Raw genomic sequence first — 23921 nt, forward strand, 5'->3', positions numbered from 1 at the left:
CTCTTTCTCTAGGTCATGGCTTCCAGCTTTTCGAATCTGAGGCTCCAAAGGAGGAAATGACCATTCAGGGATCTTACTCCAGCTTGATTACGGAGACTGAACCTTCATAGGGTGCGCACTTACCAAGGACAGGAAGGTTTCTCTGTTTGAAGGGCTTTAAACTTATAACAAAGAAAATAAAAATGACGACTTCGTCTATCAGACGGCAGATGAAAAACATCGTGAACAATTACTCAGAGGCAGAAATCAAAGTCCGGGAAGCCACCTCCAATGACCCGTGGGGCCCGTCCAGTTCTCTGATGACCGAGATTGCCGACCTGACCTACAACGTGGTGGCCTTCTCGGAGATCATGAGCATGGTGTGGAAGCGGCTGAATGACCATGGCAAGAACTGGCGGCATGTGTACAAGGCGCTGACCCTGCTGGACTACCTCATCAAGACAGGCTCCGAACGTGTGGCCCAGCAGTGCCGGGAGAACATCTTCGCCATCCAGACCCTGAAGGACTTCCAGTACATTGACCGAGATGGCAAGGACCAGGGCATCAATGTGCGTGAGAAGTCAAAGCAACTGGTGGCTCTCCTCAAGGACGAGGAACGGTTGAAGGCTGAGAGGGCCCAGGCTCTCAAAACCAAAGAGCGCATGGCCCAGGTTGCCACTGGCATGGGCAGCAACCAGATCACCTTTGGGCGAGGCTCCAGCCAGCCCAACCTCTCCACCAGCCACTCGGAGCAGGAGTATGGCAAGGCCGGGGGCTCCCCGGCCTCCTACCATGGCTGTGAGTAATGGAAGTGCTTCTCACCCTTTGCCAGAGCAGCAGCAATGGGTGACAGGCAGGGTGGGTGTCTCTGGGCTTAGGGAGTGGTGGCCACTGCAGAGCTCGAACCTGTCCTCAGTACCCAGCTTTTGGTGGCCCAGGCAAATTGTCCTTGGTCTGGATTGAGTTTTGGTTATAAAGGGACTTTTAGTCCCTTGGCTGCTCTGGTTCAGGGATCTCTAACGCCCTTTGCTGCTCTGGGCCTCATTCTGTACATCTGGGCAGACGGTGGGCAGAGGCAGGTCTTTTCTGCTTCCTTGTCAGAATGGGTCTGGCAGCAAAGGAGTTGTCCTGCTGCACATACAATGGGGAGTTGACTCTGGTAGCCAGGAGGAAACAAATGCTCTTTCTTGATAATCTTGTTTCTTTAATCTCATATTAAGTGTTTTTCTGCTGACTGAGCTTCAGGTCTCTTGAATGGCTCAGTATTATTCTACTTCAGCAAAAAAACTTGTACAGGTTGCTAGTGTGAACAAGGCCTCCCTGCCAAACATGCAAATGAGAGTTGCTAGTGATCTGGTTGCATGGCTGGGTCTGCATTGAGTTCTGGTTTTGCATGTTGGATTAATTTGGGTCTTTGCCTTATGGTCAGAAGAGGTTTCAGGGAACAGAGTGGAGTTCAGGGCCTGATGGAAGCTGGTCTCTGTGAGTCACATTGGCATCCTGGCTGTTCATTGGAAGTGGTCCCCCAACAGGTGTTTCTCCATTTTCACAGTGCTATTCCAGCCACAGTGTGGACCCCACACTCAGAGAGACAGGTGGCCCTAGTGGCCTTTGGGGGACAGGGTGAGGATGGAGGTGGGGATTGTAGAAATTATATCTTCTGGCTGCTAAAACAAAAGTGCAGATCCCTAGTAACACTATGTCAGCATAGCAGAAAACTTCTTTTTAAAGGAAGTTGTCTGTAGTTTGACAGACCTCAGTCAACCCTTACTTAGTCAGTGTTCTGTTACCAGACCATTTACTAACATTTCCTGCTTTTGCAGGTTTCGATTTGACATTGTACCGCCACCACTAGCATTTTGAGAAATGTGTTAAATGAGAGATTTGCATATTAAAGTCAGATTTCCTGCTTCTAGGAATTCTGAATTATTACCGAGCTTGGAGCAGGTTAACATATTCTTGTCCCATATGTAGTTGTCATTTTTCTTCTTAGTTTGAACTGTTTTGCTTAAGCAAAGGTTGTGACCTTGGTTAAACCACTTGAAAACAATTTAACCTTAATCTCCAGAAGCCTCAATGCAGGGTTAAATTGCACCAAAACAAATGAAGATTGCCCTTTAAGAAGTGAAATTGTTTTATTTCTCTCAAGGATCCTCTTACCAACCCCCAGAGAGGCTCTCTTTGGATTGAGTTGGTCCCAACCTGCCTTGACTTCCTCTGTCCCTGTGACTGTGGCTGTGGCTTTGATGCAGGCCAAGGGGAGCTGCCATTCTCTTTATGTGCTTTTCATGGTCATTATTCTCAAGAAGCCAGAGGATGCTAAGCAAGGAGCTGAAACAGCTTCATGTTCCATGAACAATTTGTGGAACTTTGCAGATGCAGGGGTTGGAACAGTGGGGATGCAGGAGCCTGGTTTGATCCACCCCTCCTCCTCATACCGAGTCCAGGGCCTGTAGCCATAGGTCCTGCTGGGCTAAATGATACTGCTGCAGTTCCAGCTGTGATGTTTTTGGTTCCCTCAGACCTTACGCTTGAGCTGCATGTTCAGGGTCAGAATGTGGTCAGTGGGCTTTTCACAGCTTCCACCGCAGTGGGCTGCGGGGTTGACCCCGAGTGGCCTTGGCCCGTACCTCCTGCAGGGGCTGCTGCGCACCCTCTAATGGCGTGTCTCTCTGTGTGTGTGTGTGTGTCCCTGCCCCACAGCGCCTGAGGCCTCGCTGTGCCCCCAGCACCGCACAGGGGCCCCGCTGGGTCAGAGTGAGGAGCTGCAGCCACTGAGCCAGCGCCACCCCTTCCTGCCGCACCTGGGGCTGGCCTCCCGCCCAAATGGCGACTGGTCCCAGCCCTGCCTCACTTGTGACCGCGCAGCCCGAGGTGGGACGGCGGTTTGCTTTTTTCCTTACTAGAAATGCTGGGCAGCTTGCTGGGGGTGTGCTTGCCATGCCAGTACAGCCAACTCTCTCCCTGTCTCCTCTGGGCCTGGGGGTTTGGCCTCCAGCAGGCCCAGGAGCCCTTTCTTCCTCTCTCCTGGGAGCTTGTGGCCTGGTCGTGCTCCGCTTCCAGGATCACATGTCACTTGCTAGAAGTTCTGTCAAAGGTTTAGCAGGGGAGCTGTTCTTTGGGTAAGGCATGGGGTGATGGCCCATGCTCTCCCCATGCTCCCATTCCCTGACAAACTGGAGGGGGCTCTGCCACCTATCAGGCCCACCCATGGTGGTGGGTCAGACAACTTGGCTTGTTGGACCGGAAATGTGTGATTTAAACCTCACAACACCAGACAAATATAAGATCCTCAGTGATGGTCATTGGAAGCCATTATCCTTAATGCAGTAATGTATGCCTTGCCCTGAATAAAATGGGATTTTTTTTTTGCTTCCCAATTAACTGCTGTTCTTCCTGAAATCCCTGTTACCATGGAAAACAGAGAGTTAGCTGTACTGTCAATTCTAGGTCACGGTGTTTGAAGATACCTAATTCAATGGGTAACTAAAAATGGGGCTTCTCTTTCTACTAATTAATAATGTATCCTGATCAGAGCCTTACAACTGTAGCAGGTTAAACTGAAAACAGATTTTCACTGTTTCCTACAAGAAAATGCTCTCAGTCTACCATTGGTCCCAAGTGGGTTCTCTGCTACAGGGAAGAAAGGTGTCTGTTCTCTTCTACTCTTCTTACAAGAAGGGGCACGACAGAGAGCTTTTGTGCGACTTCCCTGATAAGGTGACCAGCCTTTATTCAGCCCTGGAAACAGTTACAGTTCATTCATGCCTCATTAATATTACAGCTTGTTTGACTTGGGTATTTGTGTAATAACTATATTTAACTCTAGGATATTTTCCTTCATGTCCCTGTTTTCCCCTAACAGTTTATACAGGATTTTGGCTTCTTCTAAACTGACATTAGAAAACGTAAGGAAGGCCAGCTCTGCACTGTAAAGAATGTAAATGATAAAAGCATTCGTTAAAGGGTCACCCAGAGGCATTGGAGTTACATGCCCATTTCACCCCCCCAGATAGTCAGAGGCTGCTGTTCTCAGCAGGTCCCGCGGAACTCTCCATGGAGTTCCCTTTTTGTTTTTCCCATGTTCTACCCATTTGGTAACTGACAAGGTCTGTTTTGAGCCTTGGTGGCCAATTTTGTGTTACCCTGGCCCTCTAGCTCTCCCGCTGGCAAACTGGCTTTCCTGGGACGTTTGCATGTTAAATACAGCCTGGCAGGCCTGCAGGCTGGCCATCTTCCCCCACTGCGGCTGTCTTTGGCCCTGCCTCTGCACCTTCGCCTGTGCCATTCCGTTCTCTCTGCTTGGATATCGCTCCCACCACCTGCCCCCTGTTCCCCCAACCTGGCAAGTTGCTTAAGGTATCCACCCCGTGTGGATTTATGTTGTCCTTCAGCCCTGATAGGAGTTGAAGATAAAAATGAGTATTTTTTTCTTTGAAGATTTCTCATGCCCCAGATGAGTTTTGAGCAAACAAGTGTTATATGGATTGCATTTCATCCTTTAACTGTTGGGTGTGGCATCCTCTCCACATCTCACTCCCTCCCCGTCAGAGGGTAGGGGGCTGTCGGAGTCCAGGGCAAAGATTCTGGCCATGTTTCTTCTCTGTTCTTTCTTGATGCTTCACAAAGGGTTGAGTATAAGGTAAGTGCTTAATCTATGCACACCAGTGGATTTGTTTGGAGCACACCTTCTTGGAAATCAGCAGTGGGAAGGTCAGAATGATGCCGGCCATTCAGAAAACTGTCAGGTGAGATGCAGGCTGTGATTCAGGAGAGATGTTTGTGAGGGGTGCATTTGGGACTGCAGACCCCACAGAGGCAGAGGAGGCAGACTGCTCAGAAGCCCTCTTCACATGAGAGCAGCCACAGCCGGGAAGGCCTCTTGTGTGACTGGCGATAATCATGAGGATGTCTGAGGAGAGCTTTCTTTCATGTGCCATATGTCATCTCATCCTCCCTGTGCCCCTCCCTCTCTCTCACCTCCCACATAGATCTGTAGATCTGACCTTGGAAGTCTCTTGAATTGTCCATCTTGTTCCATGGCCTCAATTCAGTGCCAGCCTTCTGACCAATTTCCTGCTGTCATTATCTCCCAGTCTCACCTACCCTCCATCTTCATAAAGGATGCCCTGGTCCTGAGTCTCAGCCCCTTTAGATGCCAGGCCCTGCAGGGCCATCCCAGAGCCTTTGACGTTGCAGACCTCAGTTGCTTCCACCAGCTGTGTCCCCTGCCCTCAGTCTGGGGGTCCTCCTGTTCCGGCGGAAGCATTCCAGACCTTCCCAGGCCTGCTGACGTCTGCCTGCAGGCACAGCTCTGGGCTTTCCTTTTGAAGCCTGGTCTACCTGCCCTCTGCTCTGTATTTATTGAGTTCCCATGGGGCACCAGGCACTGAGCACAGAACAGAGCCCCTTGCCCTCGTGGAGCTTATATGGTAATGGGAAAGAAAAACACAATATAAATTATTCAGCATGTTATGTAATGAGCGCTCTGGAAAACAGCAAAACAAAAACAGTCTTGCTTGAGTGTCTTTGGGGAGGTAAGAGAGGGTGGCTTGCAGTATGAATGGATCAAGGATTGAAGGAGTGTGAGGGTGAGCCTTGTGGAGGTTGGAAAGAGCCTTCCAGGCAGAAGGGCAGCTGTGCAAAGGCCCTGAGGTGGGAGTGTGCTCAGGGTGTTTGAGAAAAGGCAGCCAGTGAGGTGGCGATGAGTGACGGAGCATGGCCAGTATGTGGGGGTGGAGCGTGGCAGAGGTGGGCCTGGAGGAGGTGTGGGGCAGGGCCTCTCAACTCTGTCTGGTTGGGAGCATTCCTTGAATTCCTAGTCCATCCAGACGGGTCCTTTTGTGTCCATGTTTAGATGTTGTGCCGATGTCATTGCTAGGAGCTTTTGAAACACTTTCACTGTGCTTACCTTGCAGACCATGCACTCAGTGGCCCGGTGCTGGGCCTTCTGGGTTTATGTCAGAAATTTCTTTGACTTTCACTCACAGTGAGATGGGGGAAGATGAGGGTTAGGAGGATCCCTTGGGGTGTGTATGGGCAAGGTGGGAGCAGGGAGCCAGGTCAGGAGGCCACTGTCCCCATCCAGGTGGGAGATGGTGGGGGTCTGGACCTGGCAGGGCTGCAGAAATCTGGGCAGTAGCCAGGTTCTGGGTATGTTTTTTTTTTTTTTTTTTTTTTTTTTTTGAGACAGAATCTTGCACTGTCACCCAGGCTGGAGTGCAGTGGCACGATCTCCGCTTACTGCAAGCTCTGCCTCCCGGGTTCACGCCATTCTCCTGCCTCAGCCTCCCAAGTAGCTGGGACTACAGGCGCCCGCCACCACGCCCGGCTAATTTTTTGTATTTTTAGTAGAGATGAGGTTTCATCATGTTAGCCAGGATGGTCTTGATCTCCTGACCCCGTGATCCGCCCACCTTGGCCTCCCAAAGTGCTGGGATTACAGGTGTGAGCCACCGCACCTGGACGATTCTGGGTATGTTTTAAAGATGACCTGACAGACCTTGCTAGAGGACTGGGCAGAGTGAGAGGGGAGCTGAGGATGACTCTGAGGGCTGGGAGCAGAGCAGCTGGAGGCAGAGCTGCCATCATCTGAGATGAGGGCGGCTGTGGGTGCAGTAGGTTAGTGGAGGGGTTGAGTTCAGGACACATCGAAGTGTCTCCTAGACACGCAAGTGGAGGTGTCAAGAAGGTCTGAGAAGTCTGGAGTTGGGGGGAGAATTCTGGGCTGCAGGCACACTTTGGAAGTTGTCAGGGCATGGACAGTGCTTATAGCCGTCAGCTGTTCGGCCTCACCTGGCGCTCATGGTTTTTTTTTTTTTTTTTTTTGAGATGGAGTCTCACTCTGTTGGCCAGGCTAGAGTGTAGTGGGGTGATCTGGGCTCACTGCAACCTCCGCCTAGCTGGCTTCAAGCTATTCTTCCTCAGCCATCTGAGTAGCTGGGATTACAGGCACATGTCACCATGCCTGGCTAATTTTTGTATTTTTAGTAGAGATGAGGTTTCATCATGTTGGCCAGGTCTTGAACCCCTGACCTCAAGTGATCTGCCCAGCTCGGCCTCCCAAAGTGCTGGGATTACAGGCGTGAGCCACCATGCCTAGCCTCTGGCACTCATGTTTACTTGGTGGTCTTGTAATTTCAGACACACCAGCTGCCCTCCCAAGGCTGGCTCCTCTTAAGGCTTACCCGTGTTGGCTGCCCTCACATGATCCTGGCATGTAGTCAGTGCTCAGGACAGTTGTGTGTGGGCAGAAGCTGCGCAGCCCAAAGGAGGACCCTCAGGCCCAGGGGGTTGAGGGATTTGCCTAAGATCACGCAGAGATGGCAGCTGGCCTGAACTGCAACCTGGTGGGGGTGAGCAGCCCACATGTTACCCGCCCCCCGGGCTCTTTCCACCATTTCCTGTTCTGTTCTGCAGAACTGGCCACAGTGTCAAAAGGCTTTGGAGAAATTACAGAAGTTCTTGGGGTAGACGGAACCTACATCAAAGGGAGGCAGATGGGGATGAGAAAAGCATTCCTGAGTCAAGGAATGGAAAGAAAGATTGCTGCTGTCCTCTCACCAAGGACACTCTAAGGCCAGGGGCCAGATCTTCTGCCTTGGCTGGCCTCTGTTGAGGGTGGGTAAGGGAAGGAAGGAATGCTCAGCTTGGTGTTCTCAGCCCCCTTGCTGAGTCTGCGGAGCCAGAGCTACAGCTGTCTTGATGCTCCCTGAGCAAGTCCCGAGTTGCCTGGTACCTTGCAGTTCTTGGTGGGAGTTTAACTGCCCAGCATTCCCGTTCTCAAAAAAAAAAAAAAAGAAAAAAAAAGAAAAAGGAAGGCAGGCAGAATAGAAATCTTCATTGCTTTCTGATTCACTCAAGTGAATCAGAACCAACTTGGGTTCTGAAACCAAAGTAAGCAGTGGTGGGCTTTGTACCAGGTGGGGGCTGCTGCCTGCAGCCGGGTCTTCTTGGCTCTCCTCATGGCCCCTCCTGTCTTGCTGACGCCGCTGGCCCTGGCTGTAGTATGCTTCAAGTCTGCTCCCAGAGAAATGACAGGGATTCCTTTGGGCTACTGGTCCTCTGGGCTGAGAGCCCCTTGTGCTGAGGCTGCTCCTCTCACACCCCACCCGGCAAGGGTTTGCCAAGTGATTACTAGAAAGGATTTGAGTTGGCTTATAAAACACATGCAATGCCACAGGATTCAATAGATACCAGAAGAAATTGGGGCAAAAGGAAAACAGAGGTGAGAAAGAAAAGCCAGGATTGTATACAGTGGCTAGAGATGGATCCAAATTTGGTTTGATACTGTGCAGCTGGGAAGGCCAGAGTGTCAAGCAGCCTGCCCAGGACTTCATGGAGCAGTGGCCGTGATCATTGTCCTGCGGCATCACCCCAACAGCTGCTGCTGCTGTCCGCCAGGCCTTCGGGCCATGCCTCCACTCTCGAGTGGCCTGGCAAGAATCTAAGGGGAAACAGGATTTCTCAGGGAGTGGAATGGCAAGGCTATCCACGGTTATCAGCCATTCATTTTTTTTTTTTTTTTTTTTTTTTTTTTGAGACGGAGTCTCGCTCTTTCGCCCAGGCTGGACTGCAGTGGCGCTATCTTGGCTCACTGCAAGCTCCGCTTCCTGGGTTCACGCCGTTCTCCTGCCTCAGCCTCCTGAGTAGCTGGGACTACAGGCGCCCGCCACTGCGCCCGGCTAATTTTTTTTTGTGTTTTTTGTAGAGATGGGGTTTCACCGTGTTAGCCATGATGGTCTTGATCTCCTGACCTCATGATCCACCCGCCTCGGCCTCCCAAAGTGCTGGAATTACAGGCGTGAGCCATCGCGCCCGGCCTCATTCTTAAACCCAATGGGGACTTGGTAGAATTTGAAAGCTTTCTTGTGCGCTGTTTCATGAGTATGTCCAGGAAGTCCCCAGGCACAGTGGGCCCTCAGAGGACTCTCTACGGAAGCTGTCTTCATAACAAGGGAACCTCAGGGGTGAACCAGAGTTGTCATGGCCTCAGCCCTGCTTGCCCAGCTCTGGGAATAGAGCTGAAGCATGCGCACACACAGACACATGTGCACTTACACCAGACATGTACACACAAAGGAGAGTGTTTTGGTAAGAAGGAGGCATCTGAAAAGGGAGTCCTACATGGGTCTACTTTTGAAAACTCAAAGATGTGGGAAAATATATTGTTAAAAAAAAGAAAAGCCAAACCCAGCCAGCGTGTCAGAAGTGCTTCTGAGGTGGACCTTGGAAGGATCCTGGGCCAGCTGAGGTCTCCTGAGAGTGTGGGAGGTGACAGAGCTCCAAGGTGCAGGGCTGAGTGATGCTGCCAGGAACTAGGAGGGCAGCAGGGCCCGCCCGGGGCTGAGAGGTGGTTGGTGGCCACCAGCCAGGTATTTCCTAGTGTCAGGCCAGGGATAGCTACCTGTGGGGAGTGTGTCTAGCCCTCAGGGCCCTTCCATTGGGTTTTGGGGATGGACCAGGAATTTGGTGGGAGATGAGACTCATTTGGCATCTTGTTTTGGTGGAACAAATGTGTTCTGTAAGTCAGGGGAGCCCTGCATCTTCGGCTGGCAGTCAGTCCCAGGGGCAGAGGCACAGCAGGGCTGTCAGCGTTAGCTTACTCTAGAGAGAGTTAATCTCTTCAGGTGGAAAATTGAGTCATGGAGGAAGCTGATCAGTAACATGAACACACCCTCAGAGGCAGCAGATTTATTGACACATCTATCCAAGTATCAGGTATAAAAGATGCTCGTTCTTGCCACAAGGGCTTGGGTTTTAAGTGGGATTTGAATGTGATTCGTGAATGGCTGGGCTGCTAAAGTCAGACAGTTGCCCAACACAACCAGAAGGCATCTGGATCACCTCTCCTGGGCCTTTGCCTTCTCTTAGGAGGAGTCCATTTGCTTCTCACAGTTGTCTAGAAGGTAGGCAGGGCAGATGAGGTTAATAAGGAAACTGACATGAACTTGCTCCCCTAAATCCTCTCATTTGTAAGTGAAGAAGCTAGAATTAGAACTGGGATTTTGAAGAACTCTGGTTCTCTTTCCTCTACTTGACAGTTTTTGAAATTGCTTTAAAATTTTTTCTGCAAAATAGGCAAATACGGTGTACACCTATTACAATTTTAAAATTATATGGTTCATCTTATATAATGCTTTTTTCTGTATTATTATTTTTTTCTTTTTAAGATGGGATTGGCTGGGCAGGGTGGCTCACGCCTGTAATCCCAGCATGTTGGGAGGTTGAGACGGGCAGATCACCTGAGGCCAGGAGTTCGAGGCCAGCTTGGCCAATATGGTGAAACCCATCTCTACTAAAAATACAAAAAAATTAGCCGGTCATGGTGGTGGGCACCTGTAATCCCAGCTACTCAGGAGGCAGAGGTGGGAGATTCGCTTGAACCTGAGAGGCAGAGGTTGCAGTGAGCCGAGATCACTCCAGCCTGGGTGACAAGAGCGAAACTCCATCTCAAAAAAAAAAAAAAAAAAAGACAGGGTCTTGCTCTGTTGCTCAGGCTGGAGTGCAGTGGTGTGATTGTGGCTCACTGCAGCCTCTACCTCCCTGGGCTCAAGTGATGCTCTCACCTTAACCTCCTGGGTTGCTGAGACTACAGGTGCATGCCACCATACCCAGCTTTTTTTTTTTTTTTTTTTTTTTTTACTTTCTGTATTTTGTAGAGGTGGGGTTTTGCCACGTTGCCCAGGCTGATCTGGAACTCCTGGGCTCAAGCTATCCTCTGGCCTCGGCCTCTCAAAGTGTTGAGATTACAGGCATGCAGGCACAAGCCACCACACTCAGCCAGGAATACCTAATTAAACCATTATTTAATTGGGCCCCAGATCTTAAGGAGCTCCTCTGATTGTCAGAATATGGGATTGTTCTCAGAATTGAAACAGTGCTATCAAGGCTGGGCGCGGTGGCTCATGCCTATAATCCCAGCACTTTGGGAGGCCGAGGCTGGTGGATCACTTGAGGTCAGGAGTTTGAGACCAGCCTGACCAACATGGTGAAACCCCTGTCTCTACCAAAAATACAAAAAATTAGTCGGGTGTGGTGGTGGATGCTTGTAATCCCAGCTACCCAGGAAGCTGAGGCAGGAGATTGCTTGAAGCTTGGGAGGCAGAGGTTGCAGTGAGCTGAGATCGCACCACTGTACTCCAGCCTGGGCAACAGAGCAAGACTCTGTCTTTAAAAAAAAAAAAAAGAAACAGTGCTATCAAAATTGCTGATTGGGAGGCCGGCTGCAGTGGCCCATGCCTGTAATCCTAGCACTTCGAGAGGCTGAAGCAGGTGAATTGCTTGAGCTTAGGAGTTTGAGACCAGCCTGGACAACACAACAAAACCCCATCGCTACAAAAAAAAAAAAAATTAACCAGGCATGGTGGTGTGCACCTGTAGTCCCAGCTACTTTGTGGGGCTGAGGTGGGAGGAATCGCCTGAGCTCAGGAAGTCCAGGCTGCAGTGAACCAAGATTGTGCCACTGCATTCTAGCCTGGGTGACAAAGCGAGACCCTTTCTCAAAAGAAAAAAAATATTGGGGATTGGGTTATTGATTAAATGATTGACATTGGCGTGTGCCATAGAAAATGGATCAATACAATATTTACCTGTTTTTTAAGGATCCTTTGTAGTATAGGTAAACAAACTATTGTTTATAAACTGTCAATAAGTGTAGAAGGTTTCTCGATGCTTTAAGGTTGAGTTTAGCAACAGTATGATACATAGTTGTTAGTTTTTGTTTAGTGATACAAGGCAGTTCCTCATTTTGACAGTTGCCTTTTCTTTTTTCCCTAAATCACTAGCTCTCAAGCTTTTAAATCTCCCAAAATGTCCCAAATCCTGGGCCACACCTTTGCCACACTTCTCAAATGAGAATCTCTGGGAGGGCCCCAGGTACTGCGGTGGCACTGACAGCATTGTACTGGGGGCTGCTGGTTCCCTGTCAGATGTTTTAAGTCAGATTGGCTAGCATAGTCACAGCTGCTGACGGTGTCTTTATTCATGGATGCTCAGTACAGCAGTTGCTAGTTTCAAATAGACAACTTCCAGGAGGCATTAAAAAAAAATTATATGACTAGAAACAGGAGGGAAGGCATGCAGATAGATTTGTCTTCCCATGGGAAGTAGGCCATATAAGTTAAATCTCTCTCTGTATCATATCCTTTTTTACTATCTTCAGAGTCTTTTTCACTACCTGAAATTCTCTTATTTGCTTTGTTTTGTCTCCCTGCACTAAAACAAGCTGTTAGAGCAGGAGCCCCGTTCATGCCCCGTGCTGTATCCCTAGTGTCTTTAGCACAACACCTGAACCAGGAAAGGTGCTCAGAACATACTTCATGCATGAGTGCTAAATAAGCCTCTCTTCTCCTCTCTCCTCACCTGAGGGCAGGAGTTCGAGACTAGCCTTGCCAACGCAGTGAAACCCCATCTCTATTAAAAATACACACACACACACACACACACACACGCGCGTGCGCGCAAAATAGCCAGGTGTAGTGGTGCATGCCTGTAGTCCCAGCTACCTGGGAGGCTGAGGCAGGAGAATCACTTTAACCCAGGAAGTGGAGGTTGCAGTGAGCCGAGATCGTGCCATTAGACTCCAGCCTGGGTGACAAGAGTGAAACTCCCTCTCAGAAAAAAAAGAAAAGAAAAGAAAAAATACATTTGAAGTCAATTCCAGAAATATAGGAATGCCTTATATATTTGTGTGGTTTCTCGATGCTTTAAGGTTGAGTTTAGCAACAGTATGATTCATAGTTGTTGTTTTTGTTTAGTGATACAAGGCAGTTCCTCATTTTGACAGTTGCCTTTTTTCCCTAAATCACTAGCTCTCAAGCTTTTAAATCTCCCAAAATGTCCCAAATCCTGGGCCACACCTCTCCCACACCTCTCAAATTAGAATCTCTGGGAGGGCCCCAGGTGCCGCGGTGGCACTGACAGCAGTGTGCTGGGGGCTGCTGGTTCCCTGTCAGGCTTTAATCAGTTGAAGGGCTCTTCCTCCCCTCTCCCCTCAACTCATGGCCCGTAGCAGTGTCTTTTTACAGAGTTACAGGCAGCTAGGCAACACTCCAACTTGGAGCAGCTTGGAAATTGATATTACACATCAAATTAGTCTCCTCCTGCTGACTGCTAATGGAAAGCTTAGTCCAGCTTAGTCCAGCTTGCAGTGGGATAACCAGAGCTCCTCCCGCAAGTCCACTCTGCGACCTGCTTCTCCAAGTACAGTGAGGGCATGAAGTCATTCATTCTATTTTTTTTTTTTTAAACTGGGACAGAGTCTCACCCCGTCACCCAGGCTGGAGTGCAGTGGCGTGATCTCGGCTCACTACAACCTCTGCCTCCCAGGTTCAAGCAATTCTCATGTCTCAGCCTCCCGAGTAGCTGGGACTACAGGTGCGTGCCACCACGCCCAGCTAATTTTTGTATTTTTAGTAGAGATGGGGTTTCATCATGTTGACCAGGCTGGTCTTGAACTCCTGACCTCAGGTGATCCACCCACCTCTGCCTCCCAAAGTGCTGGGATTACAGACGTGAGCCACTGCGCCTGGCTCCTGCTAGATTTTTGGTACAAATGTAATAATGTATGTCCATTCATGATAATTGGGAAAATGCAAAAAAAATAGAAATAGAAAAAGAAGAAAAAAATCCTTCAATCTTAACTATAATATGCAAAGACAACTGTTATTCACATGTTGGTGTATTTATTTTTATTTTTATTTATTTGTTTTGAGACAGTGTCTTGCTGTTGCCCAGGCTGGAGCATTGTGGCACAATCATGGCCCATGCAGCCTCGAACTCCTAGGTTCAAACGATCCTTCTACCTCAGCCTTGCCTAGTAGCTGGAAGTACAGGCGCACACCACCACACGCAGCCGAATTTTTAATTTTTAGTAGAGACGAGGTCTTCCTATGTTGGCCAGGCTGATCTGGAACTCCTGGCCTCAAGCAATCCTCCTGCTGTGGCCTCGCAAAGTGCTGGGGTTACGGGACTGAGCCATCATGCCTGGCCACGTGTTGGTGTAGTTCCTTCTGGACTTTTTCCCAAGCATTTTCTTTTTCACACTGTGAACGCAACTTTGCATTCCTGCTTTTTGTCTTGTGACATTGAAACAGAAGCATTTTCTGTGGTTCCTACACACCCTGTAAACATTTTAACAGTTGTACATAGTATTCCTCTGGGTGAAGATCCCTAAGTCATCCTTGCCCTGACGTTGGACTGTCAGTCACTCCTCATCTTCACACTGAACAGCCTACAGATTTTAGTGACAGGGCCCTGGCTGCATAGACTGACCACTGGCAGTCGGGATCTACCAAGTTGTGCAGTTTTGTTGTAGCCATCTGTCTGTGGGCAAAGCATGCAGGTTCTTAATCTGGAGAGGAACTGAAGGCCAGGGCAAGACCCACATCCCCAAAAGTGCTGACAGATCTGAATCATAGGTCTGAAAACAAAGCAGATCTAACATTTTATATTATGCAGATAGTATAACAGTATTATGGACATGTCATTCACAACCGTGTGACATTTTCAAAACATATTTTCCAAAAAGTTGGTTCATGTGCTCACTTTCTGCACTCATGTGTGTGAGGGCCAGCCCTAAGCTTTCAGGGGCTTGCAGCTGGTAGCTGAGACCTTGTTTTTGGTGGGCCCCATTTAAGAGAGGCAGACATACCGACACCGTGTGGTGCTGGGTGTGGGGGAAGGTGGTGTTCAGGCAGGCAGTGCAGAGTGGCTGTAAACTATGGAGCTGCTGTAGCCCTTCACTTGTCATCATCCCAGTTTGCGAGGGAGCATGAGGCCAAGGGCAAGCCACTGGGGGGCCTAAACTAGGAGGGCAGGAGCAGTGACCTTGGTGCACTTGGCCACAGAGGGTGCCCATGAGAAATAGGACAATTATGCAGTTTGATTTTTTTGAAAAAATCTAACTCTATGCATTTTCCATGTTGCTAGATACTTAGTTATATTTATTTATCGATTCATTTATGTATTTTGTTTTGTTTTGTTTTTTTGAGACAGAGTCTCACTCTGTCACCCAGTGGCACGATCTCGGCTCACTGCAGCCCTGCCTCCTGGGTTCAAGCGATTCTTTTGCCCCAGCCTCCCGAGTAGCTGGGAGTACAGGTGCACGCCACCATGCCCAGCTAATTTTTGTATTTTTAGTAGAGATGGGGTTTCACCATATTGGCCAGACTGGTCTTGAACTCCTGACCTCGTGATCTGCCCTCCTCGGCCTCCCAAAGTGCTGGGATTACAGGCGTGAGCCACCACGCCCAGCCTCATTTATGTATTTTTAATTTATTTTTATTTATCTTTTTGAGACACAGTCTTGCTCTGTTGTCCAGGCTGGAGTGCAATGGCACGATTTCTGCTCACTGCAACCTCCGCCCCCCAGGTTCAAGTGATTCTCCTGCCTCAGCCTGCTGAGTAGTTGGGATTATAGGTGTGTGCCACCATGCCCAATTAATTTTTTGTATTTTTAGTAGAGATGGGGTTTTGCCATTTTGGCTAGGCTGGTCTCAAACTCCTGACCTCATGTGATCCTGCCCACCTCAAGGTCAGCTTCCCAAAGTGTTGGAATTATAGGCGTGAGCCACGGCACCCGGCCTATTTATGTTTTTTTTAGAGCTGGGGTCTCGCTATATCACTCAGGCTGGCTGGAGCGGTGTTGTGATTCTACCTCACTGTATCTTCAAACTCCTGGGCACAAGGGATCTTCCCATCTCAGCCTCTTGAGTAGCTTGGGACTACAGACACCCGCTACCGAGCCCAGCAACACTTAGTTTTAAAGGTTAAACCTTTGGCAGCTTACTTAATTTAACTTGGAGAAGTTGTAACTTGTAAAATGGACGTAACCATAGTGCTTCTCTCCCGGGTTATTGTGTACGTTACATATGCTAATAATGTATGCACTTCACATACCAGCTTGCACACAAGAAATGCTCCAGAAGTGGCCCTGTCACTGTTAATTCTTATGATCAGACTTGTTTCAGATTTTCACCAGTGTAAATAATGCTGTGGTAAACTTCTTTGAACAGAAAGCTTGTTTTTTTCTTTTTTTAAGGATTCTTTGGATTATTTCTTCAATGTGGAATTCCCAGAAGTGAGATTAGTGGGAAAAGTGTATGAACATTCTGTTTCTTGAAGCATGACAAATGTTTTCCAAACAGACTGTTTCCAAACAAATGCTTTCCCCCCAGCAGTGAAGGAGAGTGCTCAATTGGGAGCCCCTGAGCCCACAGCAGGTGCTATAATTTTGTAATCGATTATTTCCAATTGAATAGATGAAAATTACTATCAGAATACTAATTTTAAAAATGAGTTTCCTGTTTATAAGTATTACTCTAAGAAATTGTTGCAGGCATTTAACTTCTTTGAAGTTTATGATTGAATTAAAAAAGAGATAAATGATTATCTTTGTTGAAGTGCCCGCTCACCTCAGCTGGCACTGCCTGGGCTTCAGAACCCCTCCTCCCACCCTGGCTTACGCCTGGAGAGCTGCGGGTGGCTCAGGGTGAGGCTGCAGGTCCTCTTTTCCTTACTGCTGGTCCCCAGCCATGATGAGACCCCTGCCCCAGCACTCTACCTAGAGAATGACAGGCTGTAGCTTTGTTACTTTCACTATGGACAGAAGCAGCAGGAAGCTCAGGGACTCCTGAGGTAAATGACAGTGAGAAAAAGCTGCTTAGTGTTTTGGCTAAGTCCTTCCTTTCCCACCCAACAAGCTGGTGCTCTTACTGTAGGAGAGAGTTTAATAACAGCCCGAAGAGAATGGCACAACTTGCTTTTTTCTGACTGAGGATGGGATTTGACTCATGCAGACAAATGAATGGACTGCCTTTTGTCTCTGCTTTACCCTCCTGCCTCTTTCACCAGCCCTGCATTGGGGCCATAACGTGGTCATTGTTGGGGCTCTCCCTTTTTTCACCTGGTATTTCAGCTTCCTCCTCTGTAAACTGAGGCAGCGGTACCAGTGTTGCAGAGGGGTAGTGGAGAAGTTAGAGCCATTATTTGTTTTCACCAGAAACTAAACTTGACCATTATCTGATGGGTGTTTGAGCACCTACTTTGTGCCAGAAGTAAAGCTGACGTGGCCCCTGCTTTCCGCCCACTTGGGCAGATGGCCGGCTGGAAGCAGTTGAACGGATTAGAACATGCAGCTACAGGTGATCAGGGCTGCAGCCTAGGTGCCACCTAGCTGCCCCATGGTTCCGTGGTGGGCAGGTCTATGCAAATCTACCCCCAATGTCCGGAGAAGCGGAGGGGCCAAGGAAGGAGGCTGACAAATCCAGTTTCTTAGAAAGAAACAGGGACTTAGGAGCAGAAGCCATGTTTCTCTCAGGAAGTGGTGAGACAAGGTGTCAGATCCCACGCCATTAGCCCCCAGAGCCAGGGCTTATATGCCATAGGGAAGGAGTGGTTCAGAAAGAATGTGTAGGATATTTGAAGTATGATAACATTAAGGTAGTTTGACCTAAAGATAGGATTTAAGGTAAGTATGTGCTCTTACATAAAAACAATAAACTGTAAATCTTTTTTTTTTTTTTTTTTTGGAGACAGAGTCGCTCTTGTTGCCCAAGCTGGAGTGCAGTGGTGCAATCTCGGCTCACTGCAGCCTCCGCCTCCTGGGTTCAGGCGATTCTCCTGCCTCAGCCTCCCAAGTAGCTGGGATTACAGGCGCCTGTCACCACGCCTGGCTAATTTTGTATTTTTAGTAGAGACGGGGTTTCTCCATGTTGGTCAGGCTGGTCTCGAACTCCTGACCTCAGGTGATCCATCCGCCTTGGCCTCCCAAAGTGCTGGGATTACAGGCATGAGCCACCGGCACCCGGCAAACTGTCAATCTTGGAGGCCTTCCTGGAACTGGGATTAATCAGAAGCCAGCATGGTGAATTAGCCTCCAAGATGGAGCTGCTTTGGCCTCCACATCCACCAAGTGCTCCCTGTGCGCCAAGGCCAGCTCCAGGTATCAAGGTGTTAAGTAACAAAACGGATGGACCCCCTGCCCTGTGGAGCTCCCAGTCTGATGAGAGACTGGCCTGATAACACAGCCAGGGGAGGCGCAGTGAGAAGGTGGCCTTAGAGCTGATACTTAGGGATGAGGATGCGGTTCTCCTTCCCATTCGAGGACCACGAGCAGCATACACAGTGTGAGGGAGCAGCGGGCAAGCAAAGGCTCGAGGCAGGAAGGAGCCTGCGTGGCAGGTGCTGGGGGAGGATGGGAAGCGAGCAGGGCCCAGTGTTACTTGGCTAGCTGCTGTGTCACCCCAGTCTCTGCCTCCATGGTCCCATGGCAGTCTCCCCTGGTGTGTCTGTGTTTCTATCTCTTCTAAGGACACTAGTTCTATTGACTCTAGGGCCCATCTTGCTCCAGTATGACCTCATCTTCACTAATTATATCTTCACTAATTACATCTGCAGCTACCCTGTTTACAAATAAGGTCATGTTCTTCATCCTACTTTACGGGGGACCCAGTTCTGCCCATAACCCCTGGTCAGAAGAAGGCACTGTAAGTGCTGAGTCCACACCATGTGGCAGCATGACACACTAGCTGATTCAGGAACCAGGTGTCATACATAGGATCCCAATTAAATGTGTCCAGACTCTGGCCACTTCTCATCCCCTTCATAGCTACTTTTCTGGCCCAAGTTCCCTAGACCAGTCAAGTGGCATCACTGCCCCACTTAAGACTCTCCAAAGCACCTCTGACGGCTTCTGAACCCCCACCACTCTTTGGTCATGTGCCCTTGGGTGCCTCTGCTGACACTAGCCTCAGAGCCTGTCCCCTGCTCTCAGAACAGAAGTGCCCCTGCCCTTTTGCCGTTCCTTCCAGGGCTCTGTGCCATCGCCTCCTGTCAGAGCATAGCTGAGCAAGCTCTCCTCTTCCCCACCCTGCCCTGCCCTGTCCCTCCTTTTTAGATTTGTTTATGGTCTCTCCTTACTAGAACACAAGCTCATGGGAACAGGGACTTTCCTCAGGCCTAGAGGAGGCCCTGCTTGGTGTGGGTGTGCGCATGTAACTGACTGAGGGTGCAAAGCCCCTTTAGGGTGCTAGGAGCAAGCGTGGGGCATAGGTCCTGAGTCTTGGCTCTGAGTTCTCATCCTGCCCCTGGGCGGCTGTGAGCCGCAGCCATTTACCCTCTCTGGGCCCCGGTGTCCTCATCAGTGGGAAGGGTTGGTAATGAAGAGCCAGACCTTCAGGGTCAGACTCCACCTGCCCCAGCTGGGTGGCCTTGGGACAGTCACTGCACCCCTAGGCCTCAGCCTGGACTGTAAGTGGGGCAGCACCCCCTTATGGATGGAGGGTTCCTCGAGAGACAGTGTTGCACAGGCAGTGGGTGATTTTCACATCGCTTCTTGTTCGTTCCCCACAACAACCCTGGGAGACGGTTTCCCGTCCCCATTCTGCAGATGAGAAAACAGGCACTGAGAAGGTAATCACCTAGGCCAGGGGTCCCCAACCTCCGGGCCACAGACCCAAAGCTTCATCTGTATTTATAGCCGCTCCCCATCACTTGCATTACTGTCTGAGCTCCACCTCCTGTCAAATCAGCAGTGGCATTAGATTCTCATAGGAGCGCAAACCTTATTGTGAACTGCACATGTGAGGGATCTAGGTTGTATGCTCCTTATGAGAATCTAATGCCTGATGGTCAGTGTTTCCCATCACCCCCAGATGGAACTGTGTAGTTGCAAGGAAACAAGCTCAGGGCTCCCACTGATTCTATATTATGGTGAGTTGTAGAATTATTTCATTCTATATTACAATGTAATAATAATAGAAATAAAGTGCACAATAAATGTAATGTGCTTGAATCATCCTGAAACCATCCCCGACCCCACCCCTGGCCGTGGAAAAATTGTCTTCCACTAAACCAGTGTCTGGTGCCAGAAAGGTTGGGGACAGCTGACCTAGGCCAAGGTCATGCATTAAGAAGTGGCAGAGCCCAGATCTGAGCCCAGGCATGGACTTGAGGGCCCGTGCTCTCGTCTGCCACACTGGGCTGCTCTCTCAGGCTGATGACACTCGGCCTGGGGTCAGGCCCAGGTGGGAGAAGCACATAGGGCAGGGAGGAAGAGTTCCCTCTGGGCGAGTGTCAGAGACGGAAGCGCACTACAGGCATCCACACACAGAGTGTGCGTTCAGTCGCTTTCCTGGGTGGAAGCACAAGAAAATGTGAACAGCTGTTTCCTCTGGGGAGAGCAGTGGGGCAGGATGAGAGGAGTAGCTCTCACTTCCTTTTATGCTGAAATATTTAAGAATAAGTTGTGGGTATCCTCACATTACTCCCCTAAATGCTTCAGTACACATCTCTTCCTGGAGAGTCACACAGCCACTGTCACACACACAGTCACACACCTCACAAAATGGGAAATTAGCAGCATCATCTCACGCTGAGGTCATGGTCACATTTTTCAAGTTGTCTGAAAGTGTCTTGCTGCTGATCAGCCTAATGTGAGTCCACCCCAGGACCCCAGGCTGAGTCTGGCCATCCTGTCCCTGCAGTCTGTGTCATGGCAGCACGTTCTCCATTTCTCCGGGCCAGCCTTCCTTCGGGATGTCTGTCCCTGGCCTGGATCTGTCTGCTGCCTCTCACCATGCTCAGCCTGGCCCTCACCCTGAGCTTCCTGAGAACCGGAATCACGGCTAGAGTCTGGATTCTGTGCACATCAGCGTTTTGCTGGGACTGTCATAGATGGGGGTATGACGTCACCTGACAGGCAGCCCTCCCACCACCGATAGTGCCAGCGTTGGCCACAGCACAAAATAACTTTGTGGTTTGTCCCTGTGTTGTAAAGTCACATCCACCTTGTGGCTGGACAGTGATCTGGCTGTGGTCATGCTTCATTGCATTTTTCATTATACACCTTTTTGTCTTTTGCATCACATATATATATATGTTCCTGTTAAATATTACCTGGTGTAGTCCGGGTGGGGTGGCTCACGCCTGTAATCCCAGCAGTTTGGGAGGCCGAGGCAGGCAGATCACGAGGTTAGGAGTTCAAGACCAGCCTGGCCAACATAGTGAAATCCCGTCTCTCCTAAAAATACAAAAATTAGCTGGATGTGGTGGTGCGTGCCTGTAGTCCCAGCTACTCAGGAGGCTGAGGCAGGAGAATCGCTTGAACTCGGGAGGTGGAGGTTGAAGTGATCTGAGACCACTCCATTGCACTCCAGTCTAGGTGACAGAGTGAGACTCCGTCTCAAAAAATAAATAAATAAATAACCTGGTGTAATCTGAACTTAACTTTTTTATAATTTGCCTCGTTAGACTAAAAGCAGCCTTCCCAGCATCTCCCTGCGAGGAGGTAAAGTAAGGGCCTTGGAGGCTCTCCTGTGTTGAGAAGTGGCAGGAACGTCCTCAGTAGCCAAGGTCATTGCTGATTCAGGAAGTGGCCCCTGGAACCACAGGATGATGTCACCACATTGAGGAAGCGTTTCACTGCTGTTCAGTAACAAGGAAGGAACTTAGCTGAACTAGAGAACTGGCCACTGGACAGTGGACGCTGACCCTGTGCTCAGTGCTGGCTCCCTAGCCCCTCCCTCGAAGTAGGTCAGCCCAGCAGAAAGCAACCCCAGGCCTGTTCCTCGGAGGCCTGGGAAGGGCCACGCTTTCTGTGTGTGACGTGGAGGGTGGGGTGTCTGAAGGAGCTTAGCCCTCAGGTGGTCTGGTCCCCATGGATGGAGGAAAGAGCACCAGCTCAGGACAGGGCTGGAATCCACAGGGAAGAGCCAACTGCATCCCAGCACTCCTGACCCCTTGGTAGGTCAGTTGTTTACCTCCTCCCACAGGCCCCACTGTCTTCATTTCACTGATGTGGGAGCAGAAGCTCAAAGAGGTCAGGCTATCACATGGACTCCCACTGCTTGTCAGCGGTGGGGACAAGATTTGTCCGTCCAGTGCTCTTTCCACTATCTGGTCTTCCCTTGGCTGACATGCACAGGGTGTGAGAGGTGGTAGCAGTGCTTGGGCCCACATGGGGTCTTCTCACGCCCCCAAGGCCTGGCAACCTTTCATTTTTTCTGAGTTGTCAGACATGCCTGTGTACCCAGCATTGCCACACCAGGCCCAGGGACATAGGAAAACCAGGACCTCACCCTGCCTTCTCCACAGGGTCTGTGACGCTCACGTACCAGTGCAGTCATGCTGCCCACTGCACAGAGCCATTTGATGGTAGAATCCTGTCCCATGTGCTGTAAAATGTAAAAATATACTTTGGTTTTTTTTTTTTTTTTTTTTTTTTGAGACAGTCTTGCTCTGTTGCCCAGGCTGGAGTGCAGTGGTATGATCTTGGCTCGCTGCAACCTCCACCTGCTTAGTTCAAGTGATTTTCATGCCTCAGCCTCCTGGGTAGCTGGGACTACAGGCACGTGCCACCACACCCAGCTAAATTTTGTATGTTTAGTAGAGACAGGGTTTTGCCCTCGTTGGCCAGGCTGATCTCGAACTCCTGGCCTCAAGTGATCCACCCCCTTCGGTCTCCCAAAGTGCTGTGACATCATTACAAGCATGAGCCACCATGCCTAGCCTACATTTGTGTTTTTTGTACTTGCCACTTTCTTTCTGTTTGACCTATCCATGCAGATTAGAGGAGGCTTTTTAATCAGCACTATGTGACTGGCAGATGCTGCTTCCATACTTTCTAGGAAAATTGCAAAATGTAGCTGATAAGAATCAATTTCCTGTTTTTCTACCAACTCGATTGCCTTCTTTCACAGTTACCTGAAAGTGGCCCACTGAAGCATCTTTATTAAAAAATCTTTCACCCTTTGTTTTAGGAGCGCATTTGGGAAAGGGTGTCTCTCCCCCAGCACAGAGTACAGGCACCCAGGCTCTGCCGGGCAGTCCCTGGAGCAGACAGGGTGGACTCGAGTGGGAGAGACCCTTGTCTGCCTGAGTTGGGAGAGTTTTCTTGGTCTTCTTTTTAGATTGTATTTTGAGGGAAATGTTGGGCTTTTCTAGCCTTCCTACTCAGCCTCTCCCCCTTAGGCTTTTTCTCAGCTGGTGTGACAGACTGGAAAGGATAGAAATAAGGCCTACCTGTGGTTACAGTTCTTGACCACAGCAAGTGAAGACTTGGAGCTCTTCCAGTGGGGTTCATAATGCAAAAGGCCGCCTTCCTGGGAGAAGGTCCGTGCATTTGATGCGACTTTAGTGATGAGCTTAAACTAACAATTCCCGTTCTTCCTTCCAGTGAGTGTCTGGGAAAGCAACCTGCAACAATGAGAGAGTGGCACATCCCCCAGCACTTGCTTTTTCCCTTGGTCCCTGTGAGCTCTGAACCTTCAGATCCTCAGAGCAGAGCCAAGGCCAGGCTCAGGTGGTCAGAAGGGCCCATTCAGGCCTGTCTCACAACGACGTCTGTGTTCACTGTCATGTGCATGGGCACAAGAGGCCCTTTGTGGAGCTGAGTTGCTGTCACCAAGGCAAGAATATCTCTGCTGGAATCCTCCCTCGAAGCTCAGTCCCGTTGTGTGTAGCTCAGCTGATGTTCAATGGTTGGTGGCCAAGAATTCTGCCATCTGCAGAACTGAAAGCTGTACATCCGTTTATGAAAACCACAACATTCAGGGGAATACCCATTGTCTTTAATTTCTACATTGATGTGACGAGCTATGATGTGGTGAGCCAGTATGTGCCAGCTGTGCGTTATTCTAACAGTGTCAGTTATGGTAGACGTAAACATGTACATTTGCATTTGAAGCTATTCTGGCCTTGCAGATGTGCTAGAAAGCTCAGAGGACAAAGGAGGCCTCACTTCTCCAGCAGGTCCAGTTCAGAGCCCCGTGCCCACTCTCCCCCTCCAACCTGGCTGTATCAGGCACTGTAGCTGTGCAACTCAGTACCAGCTTCCCTGCCAGGATGGGGCTTGTTTTCCAGAGCACTTTTTTTGGGGTGGGGTGGGATATGAGCCTTCTACTTGATTCATTTGTGGTTTCCATTTGGTAGTAAATGAAGGA

The 23921-nt window shown here is 49.6% G+C and overlaps 1 protein-coding gene and 1 long non-coding RNA gene across 4 annotated transcripts in view, besides 5 other annotated features; one reads left to right on the top strand and one right to left on the bottom strand.

Moving 5' to 3' along the window:
- Positions 1-23921, top strand: part of EPN2 (epsin 2) — a 99350-nt gene that overhangs the window by 45572 nt on the left and 29857 nt on the right. Inside the window, exons 3-4 of one of the 3 annotated variants that reach the window (NM_014964.5) lie at positions 13-777; positions 2683-2853. The exons of 1 other annotated variant lie outside the window; for it this stretch is intronic. In NM_014964.5, the coding sequence (NP_055779.2) occupies positions 183-777; positions 2683-2853 (766 nt within the window). In that variant the 5' untranslated portion in view covers positions 13-182. The remainder of the gene's footprint in view (positions 1-12; positions 778-2682; positions 2854-23921) is intronic. One more of the 3 variants, NM_148921.4, reaches the window with a different exon arrangement.
- Positions 1727-1866: a silencer, noted in NCBI's record as "silent region_8286". NCBI's record gives its function as "represses an Ori minimal core promoter by ATAC-STARR-seq in GM12878 lymphoblastoid cells {active_cell/tissue: GM12878}" and the evidence as "EXISTENCE:reporter gene assay evidence [ECO:0000049][PMID:35858748]".
- Positions 2753-3301: an enhancer, noted in NCBI's record as "H3K27ac-H3K4me1 hESC enhancer chr17:19189003-19189551 (GRCh37/hg19 assembly coordinates)". NCBI's record gives its function as "activates a minimal SCP1, AML or CMV promoter by ChIP-STARR-seq in primed H9 embryonic stem cells {active_cell/tissue: H9 hESC(primed)}" and the evidence as "EXISTENCE:reporter gene assay evidence [ECO:0000049][PMID:30033119]".
- Positions 6683-7276: an enhancer, noted in NCBI's record as "H3K27ac-H3K4me1 hESC enhancer chr17:19192933-19193526 (GRCh37/hg19 assembly coordinates)". NCBI's record gives its function as "activates a minimal SCP1, AML or CMV promoter by ChIP-STARR-seq in naive H9 embryonic stem cells {active_cell/tissue: H9 hESC(naive)}" and the evidence as "EXISTENCE:reporter gene assay evidence [ECO:0000049][PMID:30033119]".
- Positions 13659-23324, bottom strand: EPN2-AS1 (EPN2 antisense RNA 1). The gene is made up of 3 exons (NR_048576.1): positions 23002-23324; positions 20878-21001; positions 13659-14401 (listed from the first exon to the last, which is right to left on the bottom strand). It is a non-coding gene; the product is annotated as an EPN2 antisense RNA 1 (long non-coding RNA).
- Positions 21259-21458: an enhancer, noted in NCBI's record as "active region_11852". NCBI's record gives its function as "activates an Ori minimal core promoter by ATAC-STARR-seq in GM12878 lymphoblastoid cells {active_cell/tissue: GM12878}" and the evidence as "EXISTENCE:reporter gene assay evidence [ECO:0000049][PMID:35858748]".
- Positions 23287-23416: an enhancer, noted in NCBI's record as "active region_11853". NCBI's record gives its function as "activates an Ori minimal core promoter by ATAC-STARR-seq in GM12878 lymphoblastoid cells {active_cell/tissue: GM12878}" and the evidence as "EXISTENCE:reporter gene assay evidence [ECO:0000049][PMID:35858748]".

Source organism: Homo sapiens, chromosome 17 (genome assembly GCF_000001405.40).
Source record: "Homo sapiens chromosome 17, GRCh38.p14 Primary Assembly".
Lineage (NCBI taxonomy): Eukaryota > Metazoa > Chordata > Mammalia > Primates > Hominidae > Homo > Homo sapiens.